At 38.4% G+C, this 16,845-nt stretch overlaps 1 protein-coding gene and 1 further gene across 1 annotated transcript; both read left to right on the forward strand.

Annotated features, from left to right (window-relative positions):
- The window catches only part of TRA (T cell receptor alpha locus), a 930,229-nt gene that overhangs the window by 29,117 nt on the left and 884,267 nt on the right, over positions 1-16,845 (forward strand).
- Positions 2,815-16,622, forward strand: OR4E2 (olfactory receptor family 4 subfamily E member 2). Its single transcript, NM_001001912.3, has 4 exons — positions 2,815-2,919; positions 5,482-5,569; positions 9,633-9,726; positions 14,055-16,622. Exon 4 carries the CDS (start codon positions 14,063-14,065, stop codon positions 15,002-15,004), a length of 942 nt encoding a protein of 313 aa, NP_001001912.2. The 5' UTR covers positions 2,815-2,919; positions 5,482-5,569; positions 9,633-9,726; positions 14,055-14,062; the 3' UTR covers positions 15,005-16,622.

The following is a 16,845-nucleotide window of genomic DNA, read 5'->3' on the forward strand; positions in this document are numbered from 1 at the left end:
TTTGGTGACTCAGACCTTCATCCCTGAAGGGCCCAAGCCCCTGGTTACTGTACCCTTTTCAGACCTTGGTTGATGCAATTACCTCTTCACTGCTATCACCAAGCATGGAAACACCAAGACATGTTCCAATACATCTCTGAGTTCCATTGGTACTTCTCTCTATCCCCGTTACATAGTAGCAACTCTATATCCTCATGATAGTAGTCAATTACCTCTGCCACTATAGTTTTGCCAAATTTGGGGAGTTTTCAGGCATTATTTCTTTGAATACTTTTTCAGTCCCACTTCTTTCCTCTTAAACTCCAATGATATGAACTTAGATCTCTTGTTATTATCCCATAGGTCTCTGAAACTCTGCTCATTTTTCTTTCAGTCTATTTTCTCCCTGTTTTTCAAACTGAGTAAATTCTATTGATCTGTTTAAAGTTTACAGATTCAGTTCTCTGGCATCTCCCCTTTATATTAAATCTATCCAGAGAGCTTTTTAATTTCAGTTATTGTATTTTTCAGTTCTCTGGACTCAGCTGCTGCCTCAAATTCCTGGGCTTAAGAAATCCTCCTTCCTCAGCCTCCCGAGTAGTTGGAACTACAGGCACTCACCACCACGCCCAGCTGATTTTCAATTTTTTGTAGAGATGGGATCTCACTATATTGCCCAGGCTGGTCTCAAACTCCTGGGCTCAAGTGATCCTCCTACCTCAGCCTCCCAAAGTGATGGGATTATAGGCATGAGCCACCATGCCTGGACTCACTTATTGAAGCATTTTTGTGAGAGCTGTTTTAAAGTCCTTTTCCAATAATTTGAGCATCTGATTCGTCTTCGTATTGAATCAGTTGATTGTCTTTTCTCATTTATGTTCTGATTTCCTAATTCTTGGAATGAAAAGTAATTTTTGATTGTAGCCTGGACATTATGGGTTTTTTATTAGGAAACCTGGATCTTATTTAATCTTCTTTTTAGCAGGTAGTTCTCCTGTTGAGATGTAGTGTAAAGTTTGGTGAATATATATGTTCAGTTTCCTGCTGGGTGCCACTGGCACCACCCCACCAAAAGGGGACCATTAAGTCACATTGCCTTATTGCCTCTGAATGGAGATGATCAGCTTTCTGCTGGGCCAGCTGGGAGAGGGGAAAGGAGAGGGCCAACTAGACTTACCTCCTGCCTGGTTGGTATGGCAGGAGTGGAGGCTTAGCTCACCAGTGGTCCTTGTTGACAAGGGAGTGGGAACAGGAACTCTGATTAGCCCTACTTTCCATTGCTTTGTTCAATTACATGGCCACTGGATGGGTGTGGAGGTTCAGCTCCTCACTGGGCATTGCTGACATTGGGGTGGGGGAAGCTGAGTGTTTACTGTCTCACCTCATAGCACCTCATTCTACCTCATTGTTGCTAGGTAGAGATGGAGGCTCAGCTCATTGTTGGACCTCACTGACAGTATCTTGCTGGGAGACTGGAGCACCACCTGCTTCTGCCATCTGGGGAATGGAAGATCAGCTCCCTGTTTGGCCTGCTGACACTACCAAGGGGGAAACCAGAGTGCACAGTGGCTTCTATTGGGAAGGAAGGTGGGGTGGAAGATCAACTTCCTTGCTCACTGACTGAGACCTGGGGGTGTGGTTTATTTGTTGGTGTTTAGCTGGAGCAGGAAGGGTATTGCCAGAAAGATTTCCTGCTGTTAGGCCACCGCCTTTTTCCTTGTCCTTTGGCTAGAAGGAATGGGCTTTCCTTGGAGCTTTTGTTATCTATGCATATTGGTGTCTCCAGGTTGGAGGTTTCTGTAACATCCTGTCCAGAAATTTTTTTGATAAATATTAGGGTGGTATATTATTTTTCCTTTTTTAAAAATTCTAATGTAGTTATTGATATGATTGGTTTAAATCTACCATTTTGTGATTTGTTTTCTATTTTCCCCATTTCTTCTGTGTTCATTTTCTTTCCTTTTTGGTCTAGATTGAGTTTTTTTGTATGTTTGTTTTTGGGTTTTATTTTAGTATTTAATTTTATTTCATCTTCACTATAATCTTATTAGTTATATTACTTTATGTTAGCTGTTGCTCTAGAATTTAGATTATACATCTTTAATATAGTATAACTTCAAGTGATATTATATCATTTCCTGTATGATATAAGAAACTTTCAAACTTCTGTTTTTCTCCTCCCAGGCTTTTTGTTATTACTTTAATATATTTTACTTCTACATGTTATAAATTTCACAATATATTTTTGCTTTATATAGTCAAAATATTTAAAAAGCGATTTAAAAACTGATTATAAAACACTTTGATATTTTTGCCTTACTTATAAAGATTACCTTACCCAGACAACCTGTAAAGTGTGGAGAATATAGATTTATAGATATTGCTTTGAACATCTGCCCAAGCAGTAGAAGAGGCAAATTAGGAAGTGTTTAGCAAGATGCTTCTGGAAGCTAAGTTAGTTCGAGGCTGTATATCAGGCATCCTGGGTACCCACTGACTGGTACCAATTTACTTAGTGTTCATGGGTGAGGTTTCACTTGTCCATGGACTTTGAATCCCTGGTGTGTATGCAGTGGTTATTACAGTGGCTCTACAAACTAATGTCATGCTAATTGCCAAAGGTTTGGAACTCTTCCATATTTGAAGGCTTCTGGATTTTTTGTCCACTTATTAAATGGCTAAATGAATGAGACTAATAACAGGAAGGGCATTGGAATGGAAAACTTTTAATAATACCTCCGAGTATTCATTGATGGCAAGTTCAGTTATGTCATGTGATGATCACTTCAAAATCCTGTGTCAGATAGGTAAAAATTCCAAAGCTTTCAAGCCTAAAATTTACCCTGTGCAGAATTTTGAGTTTCATGATTTTATATCCTAGGCTTCTATAATAGGGTATCAGAGGCGAATGGAATCATTAGAGGAGATACAGAGTAGATGGTAAGTGTGTGATATATATTGAGAACATTTATTTTAAACAAATAAGATAGATAGTTTTTATGTATAAACAAATGTTACTGATTATACATTGAAGAATATTGCTTTGGACTTTAGAAGACAGCCTAAGCTTAATAGAGCTCCTGGGTTGATTGATTTGATTTTATGATGCTGAGTTTTGCTATCCTCTTCCTGCCTCACCTTTATAATGTGATCATGATTATTGTTACTTATTTAAGGTGGGTGCTGAGGTGAGGAGAAAGGAGATAATAGGCTCTTTAAGAAAAGCTTATCTCCTGAGAGTGATAAATGTACAGTGGTCTTCCTAAACTTCACCACAGTCCCATCTTGATGATCATTGCAAAGAAGGTAATTATATTAGTCAGAGTTCTCCAGAGAAGCAGAACCAAAGGTTTTACACACATGCACGCACACACACACACGCATGCACACACACACACGCATGCACACACACACATGCACACACACGCTGCATGCACACACATGCATGCACACACACACAGATGCACACACACACACACGCATGCACACACACATACATAAATTAGTCCTTTGGTATACATGGGAGGATTGGTTTCCAGGATGCCCCTACCAATAGCCAAATCTGTAGTCATCCCTGCAGAACTGGTATATACTAAGTTGACCCTCCATATACATGGGTTTTGCATCCTGTGAGTGCTGCATTTTCAATCTGCGTTTGGTTGAAAAAAAATCTGCGTATAAGTGGACTCAGTTCAAATCCGTGTTGTTCAAGAGTCAACTGTGTGTATATACATTATATATATAAAATGAGAGAGAGAGAGAGAGAGAGAGAGTCAGAGATAGCTTGATTTATTATGAGACTGTGGATTGTGGGTTTGGAAAGTTTAAAGTATTCACAGCAGGGCTGCAGGCTGGAAATTCCAGCAGGAGTTACTGTTGCAGTCTTGAATCTAGAGGCAGTCTGGAAATAGAATTCTTTCTTCTTCTTAGGACCTCAGTCATTTTTCTTAAGGCCTTCTACTGATTACATGAAGCCTCGCCACATTATGGAGGGCAATTTGCTTTACTTGAAGTCTACTGATATAAATATTAATCACATCTAAAAAATACCTTCAAAGCAACAGCTAGATCATAGTTTGACCAAATAACTGGGTACCATGGCCTAGCCACGATGACACAGAAAATTAACTATTATAGTAATTAAAGGGATAAAATTATTACCTGCATTCCATAATGAAAATAAAGAGACTTGCTCAAGTATACGCAGAGTAATATATGAGTTGGCTAAAGGAGCAAAAAGAAGCAGAATCCAAATTTATATATGTATATTGACAGGAAATATGCTTTCATTTGACAATATTTATTAGTTCTGATGCACAAGAATAGACTAAGACAAATTGGCTTTGATTTGCCACAGACCCCTTAAAAATTTTTGTATTTTCTTACCGGGCCCCATGGCTCCAGCCTATAATCCTGGCTACTCAGGAGGCTGAAGTGGGAGGATAGCTTGACACCAAGAACTCGAGACCAACCTGGGAAACATAGTGAGAACTTGTCTCTAAAAAAATTCAAAACACCAACAAACTAGCCAGGTATGGTGGCATGTGCTTGTAGTCCCAGCCACTGGGAACGCTGAAGTGGGAGGATTGCTTGAGTCCAGGAGTTTGAAGCTACAGGGAACTATGATTGCACCATTGTATTACAGCCTGGGTGACAGAGCAAGACTCTGTCCCTAAAAAAAGTTTTAAAAATTTTCTTAATACAAAACTTTAAGCTTAATGTTAGTATCAAGTTATATCCCCTAAAAGTGTGCTTTCTATTAATATGAACTAAAAATGAATACTTTTTTTCTATAAAAAAATTTGTTGAATGCGTCTTAAAATGCAGTTCCAATGGTGCCCATGGTAGTTACTGATTAAAGTGGTAATGGCAAGTAGACGTAGTTCTGTCTTAGTTGGCCTGACAAAAGTCAAAGTATTGTAAAGGAAAAATGTAAAATTTGCAGAAAAGAAAAAGGATTAAAAAAAACCAAGGACCAATATTAAAAAGGCGAAACCGCTGGGCGTGATGGCTCATGCCTGTAAACTCAGCACTTTGGGAGGCTGAGGCAAGAGAATCACTTGAGCCCAGGAATTTGAGACCAACCAGAGCAACATAGCGAAGCCCCTGTCTCTACAAAAAAACCAACCAACCAACCAAAAACAAAAAACAAGAAACACAACAAAACAAACAACCAAAAAAAAAAAAGCAATGAACAAAAAAACAAAAAATTAGCTGGACATGGTTGGTGTGTGCCTGTAGTCCCAGCTACTTGGGAGGTTGAGATGGGAGAATCGCATAAGCCCAGGAAGTTGAGGCTGCAATGAGCTGTGATCATGCCACTGCACTCCAGCCTAGGTGACAGAGTGAGACTCTCTCTCTCTCTCACTCACACACATGTACACATACACACAACTTAAAAAGGTGAAACTGTTCAAACAGAAAGCCAGTTACTAATATCCAAATCAGAGTGTATTTTATTTCATGTTTTTTAGGATTTTGCTTTTTCTGTTTCATTTCTAGAAACAATTATGAGAAAAGTGAATGAAATAACATTATAGTAACTTTATAACAATTAGCTAAAGCATCCCTGCACAACTGGAGAAAACTGGTAAGTTTTACCACTACCTGCGCTGCTTGTCATGCTTTTTGTGGGTCTGCACATGTATGCTCATATGTACATTACGTACTTGGTATTGAGCAAGACTTGTCTGATATGTCACTTAAGTGTGTGTTTAGAAGTTTAATAGAAGACCTTTTAATTTATGAGAGTTGTTTTAACCTCTTTTCTGTCTAAGGAATCAGAATACTTTTTTAACATGTTGCTGCCTATGAAGGCACCTGCACACACAGACAAAACACACATACGCACACCCTCCAGGATTCCTCAAGATGTCTGGGGTTACGACTTGTCACCTTTAGAGTTTGCCACAGCACTGATTTCTTTTTCCTAGTTATCGAACACTCCGTAGGTTATGGAGTCTTGAGGTTGTAAGGGATCAAGACCATCACTTCTGTTTGCTTTTTGGATTTGAATACCTAGAACAGTGCCTGGAATATAGCAGACACTCACACATAATTATAGGATGAATGTTGAATGTTGAAAAGATGAAGTCTTTTTTACTGGCAGATGGCCATTCAGTCTTTGTTTCTAAGAGCAAGGAAGTCCTTACGCAGCAAACCTGTGCTCTGAAAGTCAGTGTACAGATTAGTTTTGGGCTGTTCTGGAGAAGATTTGGAGGACTACAGTTGAGGCCTGGTAGCTCTGCTCCTCTGGGATTTCTTACCCTGGGTCACTCTTTGGGACATAACTCACCATGACTACATCATTGTAATGTATGGAGTTGTGATGTTAAATGCTTCCTTCCTTCCTTCCTTCCTTCCTTCCTTCCTTCCTTCCTTCCTTCCTTTCTTTCTTCCTTCCTTCCTTTCTTTCTTTCTTTCTCTTTCTTTCTTCTTTCTTTCCTTCCTTCCTTCCTTCCTTCCTTCCTTCCTTCCTTCCTTCCTTCCTTCCTTCCTTCCTTCCTTCTTTCTTTGTTTTTCTTTCTTTCTTTCTTTCTTTCTTTTTCTGTCTGTCTCTCTCTCTCTCTCTCTCTCCCCCTTCCCTTCCCTTCCCTTCCTTTCTTTTTTTAACGGAGTTTTGCTCTTGTTGCCCAGGCTGGAGCTCGGTGGCACGATCCCAGCTCACTGCAACCCCTACCTCCCAGGTTCAAGCCATTCTCCTGCCTCAGCCTCCCAAGTAGCTGGGATTATAGGCATGCGCCACCACGCCCAGCTAATTTTGTATTTTTAGTAGAAACGGGGTTTCTCCATGTTGGCCAGGCTGGTCTCAAACTCCCGACCTCAGGTGATCCACCCCCTCGGCCTCCTAAAGTGCTGGGATTACAGGCATAAGCCACTGCACCCAGCCTCTAAATGCTTTCTATGTATGCAGAAGCAAGGACATCATTTTGTTCTTACCCTACACAACCTTCAGCTCTAAAACTTTCACAGCAGTTTTTTTTTTCTCAGAGATTTCTTTCCCAGTTTTAGTTGGTAACTGAGTAGATGGTCTCCTCATATACAGAGAAGAATCAAATCTTTAAAAAATAAACTAAATTTAATATGCTGAAAGGGATTTAGGAGTTAATCCAACTCAGCTCTCTGCAGCCAACTATTGAGTAATAGAAAGGCCTAGGGACAGGAGAATTGGGACAGAATTCCAATCTTGCCATGCAAAAGCTGGGAAAGCCACAAAACACCTCTGAAGCTTACCTGCATCCCATTTTATTAGGGAGATGAACCTGTCAAAGGTTAGAGCGTGTTCCTATGAACTTCTGCCTTGTCTCTTCTTGAGGGTTTAAGCCCTGGCATTCAATCAGTATAGGCAGTTCTCTTATATCAGATCCATCTAAGCAAGACCTTGGAAGCTCTGGATTTTACAAATCCATTTGAGGCTAACACGATAATGGTCTACTGTGATGGAAAATCATGTTCCTCTTGGCAAAAGGAGCCTTCTCTAAGTAACACTTCTCTAAGTGGGTCCTTGCCAAGGATTGAGCCTTTAGTGCTGAAAGAGAGATCAGGTAGAAACAGAGACAAGAGGCAGAGAAAGATAGGGTTGGAGGTATCATTGATGAAAAGTAAAGATGAGTAGGCTGAAACTGGGGTCAGGGAGTAGAGGTCACTGATCTCTGGAAAGTCACGATACTCTTCAGAGGTATGATTTCAAAAAGGGGAAAGTTGTTGCTGTCTACATTGTGGAGCTGCTGTGGGAACTCTAGAGCTCTTGGAAGAAAGGTAAAAAAGGTAGACAAAGAGCAGGAAGAGATAGATTTCATTGACCTTCAGTTTTTTTTTTTAAATGAAGAATTCTAATATACGCAGTATACAATACACAATACTGATGTCTAGTGGGGATTCTGGTGCTTTTAGCTCAATTGCCCCTTTGTAAATAAGATTTCTGCTGATTGCCTTAAAATGGGTAATTATTTTGATGTACAGATCAACTTACCCCCAAATTTTTGGATTTTTCATAATTCTTCCTTGCAGTGCTACTTTGAAAATATCTTTAAAAATTTTATTTATTTTATTTTTAGACAGGGTCTTGATCTGTTGCCCAGGCTGGCTTGCAGTGGCATGATCATAGCTCACTGCAGCCTCAAACTCCTGAGCTTAAATGTTTCTCCTGCTTCAGTCTCTGGAGTAGCTAGGACTATAGACATGTGCCACCACACTCAGCTAATTTTAAAATTTTTGTAGAGATGCAGTGTCACTATGTTGCCCAGGCTGGTCATGAACTCCTGGCCTCAAGCAATCCTCTTGCCTCAGCCTTCCAAAGTGCTGGGAGGCTGAGGCAGGAAGATTGCTTTGTCCTACTTTTAAAACATTAAAAAAATTAATTCAATAAGTATTCAGTGAGTTCTTCCTTTATGCCAGTTACTTTGCTCTGTGGATAGAAAAATGAATGAGATATTTCCCTTCCTTCAGGGAGTGCATAGTTGGATCTTATTGCTACTTAAATCCCATTTTATGTTTTTTTCTTTTAGTTCTTTGGTTAAGAACGTAGGCTCTGAAAAATTCAAATTCCATTTTAGCCAGTTGCTGAGTGACCATGAGTGAATTATTTAATCTTGCAAATATTTTGGGAAGCAATTTGATAATAATATATTTTGAGGTATAATCTTTAAGCTAGTAAACTCATTTCTAGTAATCTATTCCTAACGGAATAATATATTAGAGAAGTTATAATCGTTCAAAAATATGTATTGAGCAACTGCTATGTTCTATATACTTTCCTAGATAATTTGGATGATTCATAGAGCGAAACAAAGATCCCTGTCCTTTTAGAATTTATATTCTAGCAGCAGGAGAAAGAAAATAATAAACAATAGACTAAATAAGTGAATTATACAGTATATTAGAAGGTGATCAGTGCTTTCAAAAAATAAAAAAGGTAGATCAGGATAAAGGGGATCAGGAGTGCTGGAATTCTCGGTGAGTTTTAGTTTTATATTATGTTCATCAGCATAAACCTTGTTGAGAAGGTGATGTTTGAGCAAAGACATCAAGGGGGTGAGGGAGTTAATTATGCCAGTGGTCCCCAACCTTTTTGGCACCAGGGACCAGTTTCATGGAAGACAAATTTTTCCATGGACTGGGGGTGGGGGCGATTGGTTTCAGGATAAAACTGTTTCACCTACATCATCAGGCATTAGATTCTCACAAGGAGTGCACAATCTAGATCCCTCACATGTGCAGTTCACAATAGGGTTTGCGATTGAGGATTTAATGCCAAGGCTGATCTGACAGGAGGCAGAGCTCAGGTGGTGATGCTGAAGCACTCACCTCCTGCTGTGCAGCCTGGTACCCATCTGTGGCCCAGGTGCTGGGGACCCCAGAATTATGGGATATCTGGGGGAAGAGATTCCAAACAGAGGAAGCAGCCAGTGCAGTGGCCCCAGAGTGGGACTGTGTTTTGAGTATTTGAGGAATACCAAGGAGGACAACGTGATTGGAGCTGAAAGGAAGAGTGGTAGGAGACGAGGTCAGAGAGGAAATGGGAAGTTGTGTCATTGAGGGCTTTACAGGCCAAAGTAAAGACTTCACTTACAATGTGTGAACAGGGAGCCATCGAAAGTCTTCGAATTAGTGAAATGATTTAATCTGATCTATTTTTTTTTTTTTTTTTAAAGATGGCATCTCGCTGTGCTGCCTAGGCAGACCTTGAACTTCTGGACTTAAGCGATAGATCCTCCACCTCAGCCTCTTGAGTATTTGGGACTACAGGCACGTGTCACTGCACCCAGCTTGACCTATGTTTTAATAGGATTTCTCACTGTAATGTTGAGAAAGATTGTACCATTATTTTTAATAGTGAGAAATTAGAAACATCATAAATGGCCACAAAGGATGGACTGGGTGCACACATTTGAATACATATATGTGATGAAATGTCACTTGGTTATACACTTATGATATAATACTGAGTGAAAAATAGAATATAAAATTATATGTTTATAATACAATTGGAACAAATTAAAGATAACAGCAGTAGGATAAGAACAAGCTATGGGTATTCTTCTCACTTGCTTTTCCCTGTGCATGCTTTTAATACTTTGTTTTAAAACAAAGTAACCCATGCTTATTATACAAACTTGAACAATTATGAATTATAATGTAAAAATTAATAAAATCCTATCATTTCCTTCAATTCCATACTTCTAGAATTAACTAATGTTAAAATTGATGTGTGTTCGTCAACAACTATCTTGTGTCCTTCTAGGAATAAATATATACAAACATAATTCATGAATATGTATATATGTTTGAATATGTATAAATATTAATATGTTGAAGCATATGCATGTACATATATGCGTAAATATATATGCATACACACACAAATCTTTTTCGATTTCTTTCTTCCTTTGTTCATTCATTCCTTTGTCCCTCCCTTCCTCACTCCCTGCCTTCTTTCCTTCAAGGTTCGTAATATACTCATAATAGGTTCTTTTGCTTAACAATATGTTATTGACATTCCATGAATTAGTAGTTTGTAATCTTGGCTGCACACTGGACTCTCCAAGGAGTATTAATAGTGCTGATGGGTCCAATTGTCAGAAATTCTGAATTGATGGTTTGGCATGAGGCCTGGGTATCAAAATTTATAAAACTTCTTTAAGTGGTTCTAATGTGCAGCCACATTGAGAACCACTGCCTTAGGTTATACATATAGATCCAACTCATTATTATTATTATTCTTAATAGCTCATAATATTCCATACTGTGGCTGTACTAAAATGTGTTTATCTAGTCCTCTATTGAGAAACATTCAGTTTGTTTCCAGTATGTTATTCTACTAAAAAGTCTTTAAACATGTATCTTTAGTTCTTTAGTTACCAGTTTCTTTATTTCTACAAAATACAGTCCTATAAGTAAAGTTGCTGGGTTCAGAGGTATGAGTGTTTAAAATTTTAATTGGCACTGCTAGATTATTTTCCAAAAAGATCTCAATAATACCTACTTCTAGTAGCAGTGTTAAGAGTACTCCTTTCCTTATATCTTTGTTAATCCGATGAATGACAAAAAGTATTTGATTTTCTTTTTAATCTATTACTAATTAAGCATATTTTTATTCATACTTATTTGTCATTTGAAGTTCTTTTTCTGTGACTTAAGTATATCTTTGCTCATTTTTAATTGAGTCGTTTGTCTTTTCTTATCAAGTTTTAAGAGATCTTGGATAACAGGAGTATTCTTTTTTGGTTATCTATGTTACAATATTTTCTTCACGTCTACCTTTTTTTTGATAATTTATATGGCACTATATATTTTGTTATTATTATTATTTTTTTCAGACGGAGTCTTGCTCTGTTGCCCAGGCTTGAGTGCACTGGTGCAATCTTGGCTCACTGCAGCCTCTGCCTCCCTGGTTCAGTTCAAGCAATTCTCCTGCCTCAGCCTCCTGAGTAGCTGGGATTACAGGCATGCACCACTACACCTGGCTAATTTTTGTATTTTTAGTAAAGATGAGGTTTCACCATATTGGTCTGGCTGGTCTTGAACTCCTGACCTCGTGATCCACCTGCCTCGGCCTCCCAAAGTGCTAGGATTACAGGCATGAGCCACCACGCCTGGCTGGCATTATATATTTTAAATTATTGAGAAAGTTTAACACGCTTTATCTCATTTTTATTCATTATGTTTAATATTTTTTCACGTTGGTAGGCCTTTGTCACTATTGTTCCTAATGTAAGCCCCATGACATTGTTCCTGATGTAAGCCCTGTGAACTACTGTTCCTAATGTAAACCCCTAATGTAAGCCTCACGTTATTTTAAATAATACTATAGTTAATATTTCCTTGCATTTAGCTTTTTTCATAGTTTGAATGCTTACAAGTGAAATAATTGGATCAAGAATATAAATTATTTTTGTGGCTTGTGATAATTATTTCCCAACGGTTATAGTTTTTGGCCAGCCATCAGTATAAAAAGTTAGGGTAATATAACTTTAGTATTTATACAATAATATCATATTACGTAATTTAAAGAAGTAAGTTTCTTAAGTATTTTCTTAGCTCCATTGTGAAGGAAGGCTTGAGTTCTTTTTCAGGCTGCCTAAGAAGTTAGGTTCAGTTCAAGTAAAAATTGTTTTTGCATACCCATTGTGTACAAGGCACCTACTAAGTGCTGCAAAGGATAAGTCCTGTGTGGTTACTACTCTTAAAAAAATTTTAGTCTGGGCGCGGTGGCTCACGCCTGTAATCCCAGCACTTTGGGAGGCCGAGGTGGGTGGATCACGAGGTCAGGAGATTGAGACCACCCTGGCTAACATGGTGAAACCCCGTCTCTACTAAAAATACAAAAAAATTAGCTGGGTGTGGTGGTGGGAGCCTGTAGTCCCAGCTACTTGGGAGGCTGAGATAGGAGAATGGTGTGAACCTGGAAGGCGGAGCTTGCAGTGAGCCGAGACCATGCCACTGCACTCCAGCCTGGGCAACAGAGCAAGACTCCGTCTCGAAAAAAATTTTTTTTTTTTGATTTAGTGGAGAGCAAAAATGAACATCTTATTTTACTTTATTTTACAGGTCAAGGACCATAAAAGAAGCCTGAGAGGGAATAGATAGGCTTTGACTGGGTCAGGAAAGTTTTCTTAAAGGTAGTGTTCTTTGAAATAGTCAAAGACAAAGTGAAGGATGAATAGTATTTTTTTCTTCACCTTTAAGTTCATGGATAAGTGTGCAGGATGTGCAGTTTTGTTACATAGGTAAACGTGTGGCATGGTGGTTTACAGCACAGATCGTCAGGTATTAAGCCCAGACCTCCACAGGTGTAGAGTGGGTCCACGTGTTCTCATTATTCAGCTCCCACTTATAAATGGGAACATGTGATGTTTGGTTTTCTGTTCCTGCATTAGTTTGCTGAGGATAATGGCTTCCAAGTCTATCCATGTCCCTGCAAAGGACATGATCTTGTTCCTTTTTATGGCTGCATAATATTTCATGGTGTTATGTACCACATTTTCTTTATTCATTCTATCATTGATGGGCATTTAGGCTGATTCCATGACTTTGCTATTGTAAACAGTGCTGCAATGAGCATACATGTACATGTATCTTTATAATTGAATAATTTATTTTCCTTTGGTTATATACCCAGTAATGGGATTGCTGGGTCAAATGGTATTTCTGGTTCTAGATCTTTGAGGAATCACCACACTGTCTTCCACAATGGTTGAACTAATTTACAGTCCCATCAACAGTGTAAAAATGTCCCTTTTCCTCCACAACCTCACCAACATCTGTTCTTCTGTTGTTTTTTGGCTTTTTCATAATAGCCAATGGTATCTCATTGTGGTTTTGATTTGCGTTTCTCTAATGATCAGTGATGTTGAGCTTTTTTTCCTGTTTGTTGGCCACATAAATGTCTTCTTTTGAGAAGTGTCTGTTCATGTTCTTTGCCCATTTTTAATGGAGTTGTTTGTATATTAATAGTAAACAATGAGGTGAGGAGAGTACACTTGAATAGAGTGTATGTTTTCTGAGCAGAGGGAAAAGAAAAAGTAAAGACAAAGATTTTGGAAGGTAAGTAGGTGGAGGTAGGATGCCTGGAGGACAGTGACTTGCTTGGTCAGAGAGAAGAATTAATAGGGAGAATAAAAGGACACTCACATTGAAAAAATGAAAATGTGCAGCAGACTGTTGCAGGCTTTGAATGTATATCTAATTTGATAGAAGAGTCAAATTATTTAGTTGGGAGTTGTATTGGAATATTAGCTTAATGTTATCAGTGCTTTAGTTTGAAGTGAAAAGAGCCAAATAACTAATGTGTAAGGTTTCGGGCATTTATTTATTCTTGTAAAGGCTCACTGATCTCATCTGCAAGGCAGAAACAATTGATTCATGTGCCATAGGGTGGTTGTGTTTAAATAGAAGTGCCTGGCATGGCTCCTGGTAAGTAGTGGGTATACTGTAACAACTACTGTTAAATTGATTTCATAAGCTATATGCTCTGATGATAAATAAGCAATTCAGATAAGAATACAAAGTCATTTCAATTAGTTCTATTCCTATAATAATAAAACTAAATTAGCTTTCATTTTTTCCCCCCTAAGCTCATTGAATGGACAGTCTAAACCAAACAAGAGTGACTGAATTTGTCTTCTTGGGACTCACTGATAACCGGGTGCTGGAAATGCTGTTTTTCATGGCATTCTCAGCCATTTATATGCTAACGCTTTCGGGGAACATTCTCATCATCATTGCCACAGTCTTTACTCCAAGTCTCCATACCCCCATGTATTTCTTCCTGAGCAATCTGTCCTTTATTGACATCTGCCACTCATCTGTCACTGTGCCTAAGATGTTGGAGGGTTTGCTTTTAGAAAGAAAGACCATTTCCTTTGACAACTGCATCACACAGCTCTTCTTCCTACATCTCTTTGCCTGTGCCGAGATCTTTCTGCTGATCATTATGGCGTATGATCGTTACGTGGCTATCTGCACTCCACTCCACTACCCCAATGTGATGAACATGAGAGTCTGTATACAGCTTGTCTTTGCTCTCTGGTTGGGGGGTACTGTTCACTCACTAGGGCAGACCTTCTTGACTATTCGTCTACCTTACTGTGGCCCCAACATTATTGACAGCTACTTCTGTGATGTGCCTCTTGTTATCAAGCTGGCCTGCACAGATACATACCTCACAGGAATACTGATTGTGACCAATAGTGGAACCATCTCCCTCTCCTGTTTCTTGGCCGTGGTCACCTCCTATATGGTCATCCTGGTTTCTCTTCGAAAACACTCAGCTGAAGGGCGCCGGAAAGCCCTGTCTACCTGCTCGGCCCACTTCATGGTGGTTGCCCTCTTCTTTGGGCCATGTATCTTCATCTATACTCGGCCAGACACCAGCTTCTCCATTGACAAGGTGGTGTCTGTCTTCTACACAGTGGTCACCCCTTTGCTGAATCCCTTCATTTACACCTTGAGGAATGAGGAGGTAAAAAGTGCCATGAAGCAGCTCAGGCAGAGACAAGTTTTTTTCACGAAATCATATACATAATGGGCACTGGGATTGCAGACATAATTGCAGCCACATCCTTAATGAAAGAGCAAAAGTAAAGAGTCAAAATCAACTTATATAACTTGGTAAATTAGGTAAAATGGCATAGAGCAGGTCAGATTTCTGCTCATTAAAGATAAGAACTTATTCTGTTCATTAAAGATAAGAACTTATTAACTATTATTTAAATAAAGCAAAAGATCATAGTGGAAGTTATAAGGAAAAATAACGTGGGAAAGTTTAAAGACAGCTTTTGATTTCATCAGTAAAAGAATACAATTTGGGGAACTCAGTTCAGTCTCAGTTTCAGGAGCAGGTAGAGTGAGAATTGACTCTCTTGATTTATACTGTTCTGTGGGCTATTGCCTCTGGGAAGCTATACATCACTCCTGTGATTTATACATTATAGTAGTTTCAATCTTGTTTTCCAATATATTTTCAAGTGTATAAATAAGCCTTTACTTATTTATATTGAATTAAACTTTTGTTGCTTTTGAATGTAATTCTCTCATGTCTAGATCTATTTTGTACTTTTTTTTTGAGACAGGAATTTTTTGTACTATTCCTGCAACTTCCTGTAAGTCTGAAATTATTGTCAAAATAAAAAGTTAAAACAAAACAAAACTATACACCCACAAGAATAGTAAAAATTAAAAAGGTAGAAAATACCAAGTGGTTTTTTTTTTTTTTTTCCTAATTACTCTGTCGCCCAGGCTGGAGTGCAGTGGCGCCATCTTAGCTCACTGCAACTTCCACCTCCAGGTTTAAGTGATTCTCCTGCCTCAGCCTCCTGAATAGCTGGGACTATAGGTGCATGCCATCATGCCTGGCTAATTTTTATATGTTTAGTAGAGATGAGGTTTTACCACGTTGGCCAGGCTGGTCTCAAAACTCCTGAGTTCAAGCCACCTGCCCCTCTCAGCTAATCATTAACTACTATCACTCATTGGGCTGAAGTATATCAGTTTATTGTGGAATGGGCAAGTCCATATGAAGAGGGATCCATGACAAATTTCTTAGGTAATGATGATGATATTCTGTGACTGAAATAAGTAGGATTAGCTGTAAATGAAGATCCTATAGATGGTCAGAGAGCTACCATACAATATCAACTTTAATGGAGCTGATGGAATGAAATGAAATATGGTTAATAATAAAAATATTAAGTATAAATATGTTTCTTTGCTTATTCTGAAAAAAATTTATAATTGATTGGGGTCTTTGTCACTATTTTCCACATGGTCTGTCAACTTATAGAAATAATACTTGAGTATTCTGGAGAACTGGAGAGCAGACAACATAGCCATCCACACATTACAGACATACACAATACAGAGTGAGTGACCCACTAACTCTAACTAAAGAGTAATACATGATTACCTTTTAGTAATCAAAAGGACAAAGAATCAGAAGCAGTCTATTCATTAAACTGAGAGATGCTCATGAAAATATCTAAATATCATTACTTCAAGTTGACAAACAAGGGTAGAAAATGGTCAGTCCCCTATAATTCTCATATAAAACTTGAGTCATAGTAAGAGTTTTAGATATCTATGATGAAATGAAGTCCAGATATCACTACTATGTACATGTTAAAAACTTAGAAAAATGATCTAATTATGCCTCTAGTTTCTGGACTTTTATGTGCATAAGTATTCATACTCATTAATATCTTTTATGCAGAAATAAATTCCCACTGTCTTATTTGTTTATTTGTATTATGGCACTATTCATTATTTTACCGTATAGAACATGGTTGTAACCTGAAGAATTCAATTGTTGAATACAAAGTTGCTGAGCAGATTTCTATATTAATAAATAATGATTCCTCTCTCCTGTTA

The sequence above is a fragment of the Homo sapiens genome, chromosome 14 (assembly GCF_000001405.40).
Source record: "Homo sapiens chromosome 14, GRCh38.p14 Primary Assembly".
Taxonomy (NCBI): domain Eukaryota; kingdom Metazoa; phylum Chordata; class Mammalia; order Primates; family Hominidae; genus Homo; species Homo sapiens.

What these genes read in the sequence shown, in the direction of transcription:
- OR4E2 (NM_001001912.3), top strand. Translation starts at nt 14,063, where the DNA reads ATGGACAGTCTAAACCAAACAAGAGTGACTGAATTTGTCTTCTTGGGA.